Source organism: Homo sapiens, chromosome 2, assembly GCF_000001405.40.
Source record: "Homo sapiens chromosome 2, GRCh38.p14 Primary Assembly".
Lineage (NCBI taxonomy): Eukaryota > Metazoa > Chordata > Mammalia > Primates > Hominidae > Homo > Homo sapiens.
The window spans coordinates 41406994-41421731 of NC_000002.12; the positions used below are offsets into that span (position 1 = coordinate 41406994).

Consider the following 14738-nt stretch of genomic DNA (forward strand, 5'->3'; position numbering starts at 1 on the left):
TCTTGAGCTGTCTAAACTATGCAGTGTAAACATGAAATCCTTTTTTAATTTTTAATTTTTGTGGGTACATAGTAGGTGTATGTATTTATGGGGTATATGAAATGTTTTGATACAGGCATGTAATGCATAATAATCATGTCATGGAAAAGGTCCTAGGTCTCTATGATCAGTGGTTAGCAAATCAATCCAGGTTTTGTGCCCTTCCCTTTAGGGTAGCAAGTTCGCCCAAGTCCCAGGTGGGTCTGAAGATCCTATCTGAAAGCCAGGGACTGGAGTCAAAAGCCTTATAAATTTACCGGTATTCTATTCTGCTGCAACTAAGCTGGCACTCAAACCAAAATACAAAGTCCTTTCAGCCCTCTATAGTTGTTTTCATCAACTATAATCTCTTTTGGTCAAGTACCCAAATCTTTAGTCAATTTTTCAAATTGGTTTGTTTCGTTTTTATTATTGAATTTTGAAAGTTCTGTATTGTTCTGAATGTAAGTTCTCTATCAGATATGTAATTTTTAAACATTTTTTTCCAAATCTGTGGCTTGCCTTTTCGTTCTGTTAAAAGTATATTTCAAGGAGCAGATGTTCTTAACTCTGATGAAACCCAGTTTATCAAATTTTTCTTTTTTGGTTTATGCATTTGGTGGTGTATCTAAGGAATTTTTTTTCTAACTGAACATATTTCCTGTGCTTTTCTGTTTGCCATTTTATGTTTGTAATTTAGGTTTATGGTTCATTTTGAGTTAATTTTTATATATAGTATGACATGTAGATTGAAATGCTTTTGGAGGGATTTTGTTACTGTTTTTGTTGTGTTATTTGGTTAGGTTTGGATTTTTCTGCAGACAGTACACAATTATTTCACAATTTCTTGAAAATGTCATCCTTTTTCCATTGAATTACGTTGGAATCTCTGTAGAAAGATTAGACCATGTATGGCCGAGTCTATTTCTGAATTCTCAGTTCTTTGCTGTTGACCTATTTTTCTGTCTTGACACTAATATCACGCCATCTTGATTGGTGTAGTTTATAATAAGTCTCCGAGTCAGGTAGTGCAAGTCCTCCAATTTTGCTCTTTTTTCAAAGTTATTTGGGTGATTCTAAGTATTTGCATTTCCATTTGCATTTTAGAATGAGATTGCTAAGTTTTGCTGGAATTTTTATTGGGATTACATTCAATCTACTGATGAATTTGAGGGAAATCAACACATTAACAATATTAATTCTTTCAACCCATGGACAAGTCATATGTCTCCCTTATTTAGTCTTTAATTTTTCTCATTTGAAATAAGCATTTCATCATTTTCATGCAGTTGTAGCTTTTAATTTTATTTCTGATCATTTTTTGCTATTGGATAGAAATACAATTGAATTTTGTATATTAATCTCATATCTTGCAACTTTGCTAAATTCACTAGTTCTAGTAGCTTTTGAATATATTCTATAGTATTTTCTATGTAGACTATTATGTCATCTGCAAATAAAGACACTTTTATTTCTTATTAATATGAAAAAGAGATAGGATATACTATTATACATGTTAGATTAGACATAGGGATTTTCCCTCCGAAATCCCATTAAAATGAGAATTAAGAAGTAAAATATGCATGACCCACAAGAACAAGGAAGCCACTAGAAGTGACAGTCAATAAAAAAATCAGCCAACTAAGAGAAGATGGGAATGTGATGTGATGTAAGGCCTTACATTAATATTATATGCTGTCTTGGCATCTGGTAAAATCAAGAGGACCTCAAATGGCCTAACTGCAAGTCCCTGTTTCCACGCTGCTTCCTCAGGTAAGGTCCTGTAGTCAAACTATTCTCTTTATCATGGCAACCAGGCAGAATGCCTGCTTATCTCTGAGTAGTGGGGCTTCAGTTTGCTACCAGCCCTCAGAGAATTATTCAAATAAGACAAAAGTGAACCATTGGTCACTGCACTCTCTTGTTATGAGAAAGTCTAACTCCCAATCCATTGCCTGTTCACTCTATTCCCAAGTGCAACCCCTGTGTGGTCCAGTGTGACTCAGTGTCAACAACCCTGGGCTACGCATATACAACAAGTAAACTGCTATAGAGCTCATCTGTCTGGTATTGGATGGCATGTATTCAGCCATCTCCACAATCTTAGGATAGGAAACTCTTTCTCACCAATGGGGTGAAGAGAAGGTGTCTCAAACAAGGAAGCAGATGGAGGCATTATCAAGACCTATGTCCAAGTATGAGCTACAACAGGCTCATACTGGAGGTGCTGATCACTGCAGACACTGAGGAAAGGTGTGGAACTGAAAAGAGAGGGATTTATTGAATGTTTACATAAAGAGAATTTAGAATACTAAGTCTCCTCCACATCCAAATGATTATCCATCCTCTACCCTTGCAGTAAATTGGAGGATCATTCTCAGGATATGGAGAACCTGAGTTCCAGACATAGGCACATCAGGCACAATAAAGAGGAAGGAAGACATAGACCTGCCTTAGGGAGAAAGGGAAACTGCCGAAAACTGTACCTCCCACCACTGACTCCAAGAATTTTCACAGTCAAGCGTATGCTGCCCCTAGGAGGAGACTGGAGGATTTTCCTTGAAAAAACTGAAAGGCTGGTTAATTTTATGTGACCATTTTGTCTAGGCCACAATACCAGATATTTGATTAAATATTATTCCAGATATTTTCGTAAAAGTTTTCTTTAGATTAGATTAACACTTAAGTCAGTAGACCTCGAGTAAAGCAGACTTCTCTCCATAATATGCATGGGCATCATCTAATCAGCTAATGGCCTAAATAAAAAATTACTGACCTCTTTTAATGAAAAGAGAATTCTACCAGCAGACAGCCTTTAGATTCAAACTGCAGTATCACCTCTTCCCTGGGTCTCTAGCCTACTGGTTTACCCTGCAGATTTTGAACTTGCCAGATGTCACAATTACGTGAACCCATTTCCTAAATCTCAATCTCAATCTCTCTCTCTCTCTCTCTCTGCCTCAAACACACAGACACACATGCACACACACAGCCTAGTGGTTCGATTTCTATGGAGAATCCTGAATAATACAATTACAAAAGCTACCATTTGGACATCACCCCAAAAAATGGCCAGGTGGGCAAAATGACAAGGTCCCTACTTCATCACTGCATAGCAATAATTCTCAGTTGCAGCGATGCGGTCCTATAGAAAACATTTGGCAATATCTGGAGACATTCTTGGTTGTCATAACTGGGAGGGGTGCTACTGGCATCTAGTGGATAGAGGCCAGGAATGCTGTGAAACTTCCAATAATGCAGAGTATAGACAACAAACTATTATTCAGCCCAAGATGTTAATATTGCTGAAAATATTGACTGTCAATATTAATACAATTTCTCAATCTTGAGAAACTAAGATTGAGATACCCTGATCTATAGTGAAACCCACTATTTAGCAAATTAGTGCTTCTCTCTTGATTATGAATAAACCACCAAGGGCATTAGACACTTAAGAAGTTTTCAACATTGAAGATATTTAAACCAACAAAAATAGCACAAAAACCAAAATAAAATTTCAACACAGATGCTGTTAATATGCTAAGGGAGAATAACGTTAAGACATTGTGTTTAATAAGAATATGTTCTATTGAAAAGAGGATATTAGAACATTTCAGAAAATGACAAAGAATTTTTAAAACTGCACATAAAAGATTGGAAAGATGGAGGACTGAGGTAAGGAGTTAAGGCAGATTATTTATAAAGCTGTAAAGACATCTCAACAGAAAACCTAAACAATAGAAGTCTGTAAAAATGATTTCAAATTCAGAAAAAAACATTCTGTTCAATTGAGAATTAAATCCAGGCAACCATCAACTGGTTTAAGATTAGGATAAAAGTATTTTCAGATCAGTAAAGTTCTATGTGTCCTTTCTCAGAAAGCTACTGAAGGATGTGCTTCATCAGCTCAGGAGACAGAGGCAAAAAAAAAACAAAAAAAACATGTAGGATCAATGTGCAGAGGCTAGCAGGCAAGCAGACCAGATTGACGTGGGAAGATGGGGTGCTCCAGAAGGAATGTTTTCACAAAAAATTGAACTAATTGATTATTTACATGGCCATTTAAAAAATAATATTCTGTTGGAGAGACTGGGAAGAATTACTGATAAGCAAATAAAGGAAGATGAAATCAAGTATAAAAAGACAGTATTAAATCCAGGAAAAACAGAAAATTATTTAAGATACAAAGATTAGGCCGGGCGCGGTGGCTCACGCCTGTAATCCCAGCACTTTGGGAGGCCGAGGCAGGTGAATCGCAAGGTCAGCAGATAGAGACCATCCTGACTAACATGGTGAAACCCCGTCTCTACTAAAAATACAAAAAATTAGCCTGGCGTGATGGCTGGCGCTTGTAGTCCCAGCTACTCGGGAGGCTGAGGCAGGAGAATGGCATGAACCCTGGAGGCGGAGCTTGCAGTGAGCCGAGATCGTGCCACTGCACTCCAGCCTGGGCAACAGAGCGAGATTCCATCTCAAAAAAAAAAAAAAACAACCACAATAAAAAGATATAAATATTAGCATAGTACATTACTTGGCTCAGGACTGAATAAAACTGCTATTATCCTTTGTTATGTAATAAATCACTAAAACCTAATATGAACAAATACTATAAGTAAAAATATTGAAAACAATGGAATAAATGAGTGTATTGTGGTGGGATAAAATAATAGAACCAAATGCTCCAAATTAGGAACTAAATAATAGATCTCTATCTTTTCTCTCTCTCTCCCTCTCTCTTTCCCTTTCACCTGCCATGTGTTGATGCAGCAAGAATGCCCTCCTAAGATGCCAGAACCTTGATATTGAACTTTCCAGCCTCCAGAACTGGGTGACAATACATTCCTATTCATTATAAATTACCCAGTCTTGGATACTCTGCTATAGCAGCACGAAACAGACTAAAGGAGTATACACAATAAAAGTCTCACAAAACTTCAAATAACACAAAGAGGCAAGACAACTGAGTCAACCCAAAACATGTAAGTACCCTGAATATAAAAGAACAGAACCGTTAGAAGTCAATATCATATTCTCATTGCAGAGAGCAACTTTATTTTCACAAAATAAATCTAGCACATTATCTAGTATGTTTTTGTTTTTGTTTTGAGACGGAGTCTCGCTGTTTTGACAGGCTGGAGTGCAGTGGCGCGATCTCAGCTCACTGCGACCTCCGCCTCCAGGGTCCAAGTGATTCTCCTGCCTCAGCCTCCCAAGTAGCTGGGACTACAGATGTGCGCCACCATGCCCAGTTGCTTTTTTTGTATTTTTAGTAGACAGGGGGTTTCACCATGTTGGCCAGGATGGTCTCGATCTCCTGACCTCATGATGCGCTGCCTCCCGCAGTACTGGGATTACAGGCGTGAGCCACTGCGCCAGGCCTAGCTAGTGTTTCTAAACTAGATGTTATTGGTTTGTAATGCTGTTAATACTTAATTTATAAGTATTAATTAATTTGGTTTTAAGTGGCATAAAAACCATAAACATAAGAAACATACCTAGTTTTATCTTTGTGCTTTTATAATGTTATAAAAAATTTAAATTAACATTGGAATTTCATAAGTTTTTTCTTAAAATCTGTATATTATTTCAGTTAGAGAATTACTGTCCTATAATTATTGCCTTAACAAAGGGCAATTCCTTCCCACTGAATACAACATATTATTTCTACTCCTGTTATTTTACAATTGTAATCACTGCTTTTTATATTTAAAGATAGCAGGGTAAAAGAAGCATGGTTAAAGACAGATCTGGATGTGATTTTTGTAATTATGCCACTGTACACAAAGTGCTAGCCTGCACCTAGCACTTTGCTATAATTATGGACATAATTATATCTTCCTCAAATATTTGTGAAGATTAAAACATCAAGCTCAAAGCAGGAGCTGGACAAATAGGTTGTGGTTCACAAAAGATAGAGCCATTAACCTTATATATAGTTACACATGAAAAGTATACTATGAAATCTATTTTGAAGATGAAAAGTTGATAATCCTTTGGTTGACATGAAAATGGGGTGTTCACAAATACGTGTACATCTCTTTTCTTCATTTCAGTGTCAATCGATGGCAGTTGGAACTAGCTACTAGTAATTTTCCTCATCAATAGTTCTTGGATCTATTAAATTATACCTTTTCTCATTTGCTTTGTCATTTTAAAATCAATATAAACATATTCCAACTGTTTTATTAAATTGGAAAATTACTGAAATTGAGTCTCCAAAGTTGACCCAGAAACCAGCTGTTCTAAAATAGTATTTTCTGTTTTAGGTAGATCCCACAAAAATGCCATGAATGACATAGCACAGAAAAGCCAAGGGGAGAAGAGCTAAGAGAAAGTCTGAGATATTCTTCCTAGGAAGCAGAAAGTATAAGTTTAACATGGACATTCTCTAGAAAATGTTGAACAAGAGGGGGCTTCCCCACTGTATCCGTAAATATCCTAGCCCTCAGAATCATCACTACCACCCTCAAAATAATTATGCAGTATTCCTGTATATTTTTACAATTTAATTGTTACAATTGTGCAAAGTATTTTCACATACATAAACTGTCCCTCAGTTTACAGAAAATAGCACTATTAGCCTAGTGTAGCTCCAGGATTCAAGCCCATTCTTTCACTTCACAGCAACCTAGTGTCTCCTCCACAGTGAGAGAGTAGGAAGTCTTGCACCTACAAGGCTAACGAAATCAAATTTGCACATGAACTCAAAGGCACGTTAAAATGAGTTCAGTAAAAAACAAAAAGGTATTCATATCTCCTATTAAATAAGTTCCTAAGGAATAAGCATTTCTTACACTTTTAAAAAGAAAAGACTAAAAATCACATTTTATACTGATTGGGATGACCTGTTTTAATGAGCAGTGGACATGTTCAAATTTATAAAACATCTTGATCAGATATACAAAGTAAAAAAATCAGAATAGATCTGAGAAGAAAGGACCGGATGTTCTCGCTAAAGCTTAAAAAGAAATAAGACCATGTGCCTCAAAGGAATAGAAATATGAGGTCATGGGAAAGTCCTGAAATGTTTCAGCCTGCCATGGGAGCATGCTTGCTTATTGACAAGGGAAGAACAATAGATTTGTTAGGAGAGATTAAGAAAGAGACAAAACATCAATAAACAAGAGTTTTAAAATTTTTACCACCCACAAAAAGACTATCTAAATGATTCAAATGCATTTTTGATGTCAAATCCTGCAAATACAATTTCTTTCTGCTCTGGAATAAACCAATACATAAAATGATGCTAAATACATTTAAAGTATGCTCCCATGAATAAGACTTGGGTCTATATTCAAATGCTGACTCAGCGATTGTCACATGACTCAATTATTACAAAGTGAAGCAAAAATTGCTTATTCCTGGTTAATCAGCTGGGAACCCCATTCCTTATAAAAGAAGGTTATAACTTCTTCACACGAAATACAACAGGAGAAAATTTTATCTTAATCAGACAAGCTAATTGGTATTATAGACTGTGTGCCACTTATCAATTTATTGCTTCTTATTTCTGAATTCACCCTTCACTATATGCTCTGTACCAAATCAAGGATTCCTTTAAAACTTTTCACTTTAATGAGCACAATGTTAAGATTTCTCAGTAGAGGGCGCTGGAGAGACATTGCAGGAGGAAGAGATTAGCTGTATGGGTGTGCAGACATCCAGTGGAATGTGCCCCAGCCACCAGCTTAGAACATGATTCCATTGAGACCTCGTTGCATCCTAGACGTATCAATAACCTTTCTTCAGTCCTCTAGACATGGAAACCAGAACCCTCCACACATGTAGGTGTTGCTCTGATGGCCTCCTGCCACACCAACACCTGGACTCTCTGAGTGGATTTCCAACATCTGCTTCTGACCTGGAGCATCAAACACCAAGCACTGTTTCAAAACCCCACTCTCATGCCAGGCTGCATGTGCTACAGGCCTTCTACCATGGCTGGCACCAGACTCTCACTGCAAAACCATGCCACCACGTGCTAACCTACCTAACCTACCCTGCTTGCCCAGGAACTCTAGACCTGCTCAGGCCTGGCCTAACCAGTAAACACCTCTGCTATCCATTGGGCTAAACTATACCTTCCCCAACAAGGTCTGAAACACGCCCCTTCTGAGTTTGTCCTCCCTTAGGCACTCTTCCTCAGCCCTAGGCTACTATATAGTTTCCTTATATAGTTTCTCTTTTATCACAGTTAATAATTCTTTACATTAACTTCCCTTATATAACCTGCTGTCTGGTTTCTGTCTCCCAATTGGACCCAGACTACTACAGCTTGGAAATAGAGAAAATAAATCAAATCTAAAATCAAGAAATATGCTTTAATTTATTAAGTACTATATGCCAGACCATAGACAATTTAAGTATTTTATATCATTTAATCTTCAAAATAATTCAGCAGGATTAAATATTTGAGGCTCAGAAAGATTAAATAATGTGTCCATGTTTGTTCAGCTTAGTTGGAGGCATAAACAGATTTCAAACCATTGTCCATCTGAATACAAATAATTTTAACTTATGAAATTAAATATGCATATTGATAAAGTTATATATTTTTATTTATACATTTATCTTTCTATGAATATATCTATCTAAATAATGTCTTTTCTGCATGGAGTAAATTGTATTGAGAGAAGATATATTTGGGGAGTATAATTAGTGAAGCTTGGTGGTTGACTAGGTGGAGTCATGAGATATTGACAGGTATGGAAAGTAGAATTGATTATAAACATTCCTTGAAAGTTGAATGACGTTGAGCTCTCATTAGAATCACGGCAGGATTTATCACCAAAGGTGTGACAGAAAATAAAAGCAAGACTTAGAGGAAATTCATTGGAATAATGAGTGTGAAGCATGGATGTGTAGTGGGAAAATCAGAACTAGAGGATGTTCTGAGCATTTGCTGCAGAATCCTGGTAGAATGTGCTGAGAGTCCTGCATATAAAGGCAGCAGTGGGGATGCAGGGAATCCATAGGATGGATTCATTTCCAAAGGTACATCATTTCTATGATGGATTTGGCATCAGAATTGGTAAGATGGTTGAACAAGAGACAAATCTGAAGACTGGGAACATGTTATAGGAGAATCTCTGGAAATCCTTCACAAAGGAATGAGCCCTCTTAAAGCATCATAAAACAATCTTTTTCTTCTCATGGGAAACAAGTAACCAACAGTAAGATAAAGCCTTATCAACTATTCATAAGCCAAATATACCAAGATAAGATAAAATTGCTATTTGGTACCAATATGTGTTCACTATTTTTATATATATATATATAAAACAATAAAAAGGGCTGGAAAGGTTTTCTTCTCCTTAGCAGAGATGCAAATGAGTAGTCTCTACAAAGACCTGCCTGGAAGGCTGCAGCAACCCTATGGTTATAAACCGCATTGCCTAGACGTGGAAGTCAGCTCTAGAACCCAGAACTGTTCAGATAACTGAAGAATTCTGGGTCTGTAGCAGTTCTGTGTTACTTGGTATTGTACTTCATAGAGAAATGAGAGAGTGCAAAACCCTGTGATATGCTTCTTTCTTTAGTCTTATGCAGTATTTGTTTGATTGCCATCACAAATAATCAGAGTACTACCTTTCTCAGAGAGAAGAGACAATCTCAAATTTGGTCATTCCTAAAAAACGAAAACCTGGTGCCTTAGAAAATAACAGAAGAGAGGAAATGGCTTTCTTAACAGGCATGGTCAATTTGGGACATACTGAGCATACTGTAACTTTAGGAAAAATAAAAAATAAGCAGAGTGAAAAATAGAACCTAAGCTCAGGAGAGAAACTGAGAGACCATCTATAGGGAAATAACTGTATGACACAGAAGGCTACAGTTAAAAGGAAACATGTAGTTGTTCCAGTTTAATTCCCTTATTTTTTAGAGAGTAAGCTGAACCACTGAGAGGTAGGTGTTACCTCTGTTACTTTGGTACTTTTCCAAAGTGTATTAGGGTTCTCCAGCAAAACAGAGCCAACAGAAGATGTGGGGTGTGTGTGTGTGTGTGTGTGTGTGTGTGTGTGTGTGTATCCTATTGTTATATATACATACCAACATATAGACCAATAGGATATATATATTAGAAACAGATTTATTATAAGGAATTCGTTTGCTTCATTATGACAAATCCCAAGATATGCAATCAGAAAGCTGGAGACCAAAGAGAGTCAATAATGTAACATAATAAGGAAATAAAAGAAAGGAGTACATCTCTATAAATAAATATGTGCATATATATGCATATATATACTGATATATTCCTAGCAAAATAAAGAGTAAATACTCATGGGAATTAAAATCCTCATTTCTGTAAATGATCATGTGGTTGTAACTGGTATTTATAACTCCCTTCTTCCATCACCCATTCTGTATTCCTTTTGTCTTCAGCAAGCACCTCAGTTGGTCATGCTTCTTTATATCGTGGAGTGATCCAAACTTTCATTTCTGAAGGATTTTGGTCATTCATAGTCATTACTGGATTGCATTGTTGTAGTTTCCCATTGACCTTAATCACAGGACATGGTAAAACTAAGAGACATCTTAAGGTGTCTTCTGTATTCCAGACCTACTCTTTCTTACCAGTGTTGTGGAGCAGTAGTCAAATTTCCCCTTGGTATTCAGATCAATCAACCTACCCAGCACAGTAACTCTTCTTTTCCTGTTGATTCAGAGGCATGAGGAGCCCAGATTGGCCAGATGGTAGTCTTAACTTCCAATTCGAACAGTAAACTATCTTACATGCCATTCTATCCTTTTTGGTTTTGTTTTCATTTTTAACTTTAAGAAATATCCTGGAGATGTTTTCTTACTGGTACACATAAAGCTGCTTAGCTTTTCATTTTGTGCTGTTGCAACAATTTATTTAACTGATCTCTTGCTACAAAAATTATTCTTATACATAAATTACTTTATGCATATGCTGGCATATCTATACTGTTTATTATATACATTAAGGTTCTAATGTAGAAGTGGACTTGAAGGATTCAAAAAGTGCATTTCTATTTATGAGAGACAACGTACAATTGCTCTCAGTACTGAGTTTACCGATTTACCTTCCCAGAAACAATGAGAAGTGTTTGTTTTCCCAGACCATTGCCAACATAGTTTGTAATCAAGCATTCTGGTCTTTGCTACCCCAATAATTTTTAAATGTGATCACATGATAATTTTGATTATATTTATCTTATTAAGAGAAAACTGGCATCATTTTAAATATTTGACATTATTTATATTTTCTTTGCTATAAATTATCTGAACATACCATTTGCCCATTTTTTCTTAAATATTTATAGTAGTTCTCTATTAAGGAAATTAACACTTTGGTGTACAAATTTTTTTATATAATCAAATTCTACTATCTCTTTAACTCAGTATTTTTAGACATCCAAGTGATATTGTGAGAATTAGATTTTGATTGCATTCTTTTCTTCAGAGAATGAACCAAAATGGATTATTGGGCACAGGAGGAATTGATAGGAGTCAGGAATGAATCAAGTGACCATGTTTCCAGTAAACCAAGGTAGCACAGAGAGTAAGCCCATCCCTCTCCTGTCATCAGAACGATTTGTCTAGGAAGAAAATTCTATATTACTCACTTTCTACTAAATGACTAAATGGAGAATTCCTAAGGTAAGAAATTAGAAGATTCAAGTCTCAGATAAACAGCTAAGAAGATAGGCTTTGTTGTCAGGGTGTTTGAGAAACCTGGAAAACATTGCCTTAACCAAGTAATTATGGTTAAGATCACCAGCAATGAATCTTGTTGCTATCATGTACCTCCTGATACAATAAGATGAGAATGGCACTAAACCTCTGTAGTGTTGTTCTGTGAAACGCATCACACCTGCCTAATGATGAGAAAAACATCAGACAAATCACAGTTGAGACAACTGAGAGAAAATCTGAAAAACATCTCACCACTTCTCTTCAAAGGCATCAAGGTCATGAAAAGCAGGAAAGACTGAGAAACCGTCACAAATCAGAGGCGTTTAAGAAGATATGTCAATTAAGTGTAGTATCCTGGCTTGTAGCCTGAAAAATAAAGAGGACATAAGTGAAAACACTGGTGAAATCAGAACAAAATCTGCAGTTCACTTTTTACAACTTGTATATCCTTCTAGATATTTTCAACTGATTCATAATAGTTTATAGCATGCTTTTTGTTAATATTATATGAACATATTTCTATGTCATTATCATCTCCATAATTTTAATACTTGAGTAGATTTGCATTTTCTGTATATGCATTATATATATAAGAATTAATTTAGACAATCATTACTATGAGAAATGTTGTATTTTTCAGTAATATAAATAATACTGTAATGAAGTATTATCACACGTTTTAGTCCAAGAATGAAATATGATAGCAAAATATTATTGCATATTGTAAACATTTCTTTGGGATACATTTCTTTAAGGAGGATTTTTGAGCCTAAGATTAGGCACATTTCTAAAGCTTTGGTCAAATTGCCATTCAGAACATTTTGAAGGTGTCCATTTTCCTTCCCCCACAAAAAATAGGTAGCATTTTGATTTATGTCTTTATGAAAGCAGTATTTCCAAAATATTTTTCTGTGATTATTGAGATAATAAATACTTTTTCGTGATGCCCATGACTTCTCTAAAACTTCGTTTTTATTGTCTATATTTAAGGTGTACCGTATGGTGTTTTGATATACATATACATGGTAAAACTACTACTACAGTCAAACAAATTAACATCTCTATCATCTCACATTGTGTGTGTGTGTATGTGTTGTGTGTCTGTGTGTGGTTACAGCACCAAAAATCTACTCTCTTAGCAACGTTCTAGCATACAATATTATTAATTATAGTCCTCGTGATGTAAATTACATGTGTAGACTTTTTCTTATTCAGCATTTATTCTGTCTTCTGAATATTTTCCATCCACCTACTTTCAAAGTTATTGTAACTTTAGTGTCAATATATATAAAAGGTACCTCAAGGAAATCCCTGCTGTCTCTAAAAATAACAGGAGGCACCTTCTTAAGTTTCCTTAAATAGTGATGTAAGATATTCCACAGAAAACCGACAAAATGCATCTAACTTAGCAAAGAATACAGATCTGCAATCCAACCTCATTTATCATTGAGCACTTGGAAGCACAGGGCAATTATTTTTAAAGCTATATCAAAACTCTTCGTGAGAAAAGCAACCATTGTTTTAGAGGTGGAATTGTAAACGTTCTGTGCAAAAGATATATTTAGGCAGAGAGGTGACTTCTGGCCGGCATATTTCCTTTATCAAATAGCTTCTCATGGTGAAGTAGGTATGAGTTGCTTATTAAGCAAATATAGCAATACTTCAAGCCATGAATTTTAGCTAAAACCTTTTTGTTGAAGTCTAGCAGACTGGCTCTGAACTTAATACCGTGTATCTTGCCAAGTCCAAGAATACTGCAGAGCAAACCAAGCTCCCTTTAGTTTCTGCCTTGGAGTCACTTCTGCTTTTATTAGTTGTAAAAGGTCAAGTGTTACATGGTTAGACATGTAGATAACCTGGCCCAAATTATGTACAAATACTTTATTTGAGGCTTTAATTCCGTACTTTTTAAATGCTGATCAACTGTAAACCATATCTCATTTTTTCGTACTGTTCTGCTTTAAACTTTCTGTTAGTAATAATTTTTATCGAGCAATATTTGACAAAGATTGTATAAATTTAAGGGGTACAGTTTGATGAGTTGTCAGAGACATACCCTGCAAAATAATCATTTCATACTAATTAACATATCTGTAACCTCAGACAGTACTTTCCTTCTTTTTCTGTGTGTGTGTGGCGTAGACACTTAAGATCTACTCTATTAGTAAATTTCAAGTATACGATAAAGTCTTGTTAATTATAGTCACATGGTTGTACATTACATCTCCAGAACTTATTCATCATGCATAACTGAAACTCTGAGCCCCTTGACCAACATCTCCCTATTTTCCCTTCCCCATTCCCTGGCAAGCACCATTCTATTCTCTGCTTCCATGACTTTGACATTTTTAGATTCCACATATAAATGATAACAGCAGTATTTGTCTTTCTGCATCTGGCTTATTTCACTTAGCATATTGTCCTGGAAGCATAATATCTTCCAGGTTTAATTATACAGTCACAAATGGAAGGTTTCAGATTTGGTTTGGCTGTGCCCCACACAAATCTCATCTTGAATTGTAGTTTCCGAAATCCCCAAGTGTCAAGGGAGGGACCAAGTGAAAGGTAATTTAATCATGGGGATGGTTACCCTCATGCTGTTTTCATGGTAGTGAGTTTTCACAGAATCTGATAGTCTTGTAATGGATGCTCCCCCTTTTGCTGGGTACTTCTCCTTCCTGCTGCCATGTGAAGAAGATGTTTGCTTCCCCTTCCACCTGACTGTAAGTTTCCGGAGGCCTCCCCAGTCATGCTGAACTGTGAGTCAATTAAACCTCTTTATTTTATAATTTACCCAGTCTCAGGTATGTCTTTATTAGCAGCTTGAGAACGGACTAGTACAATTTTCTTCCTTTTTAATGACTGCATTGTGTGTGTGTGTGTGTGTGTGTGTGTATATATATATATATATAAAATATATCATATATATGATATTCTGTTGTATATATTATATATGATATTCCATTGTATATACATCATATATATTATTCCATTATATATATATTATATATATATATATAACATTTCCTTTATCTATTCATCATCAATAAATGTTT

The 14738-nt window shown here is 35.8% G+C and overlaps 1 long non-coding RNA gene across 1 annotated transcript in view; it reads right to left on the reverse strand.

Annotated features, from left to right (window-relative positions):
• Window positions 1–5535: 5535 nt before the first annotated feature.
• Window positions 5536–14738, reverse strand: part of LOC105374506 (uncharacterized) — a 165476-nt gene continuing 156273 nt past the window's right edge. The window contains exon 4 of the long non-coding RNA XR_939997.3: window positions 5536–12048. This is a non-coding gene — a long non-coding RNA (uncharacterized LOC105374506). The remainder of the gene's footprint in view (window positions 12049–14738) is intronic.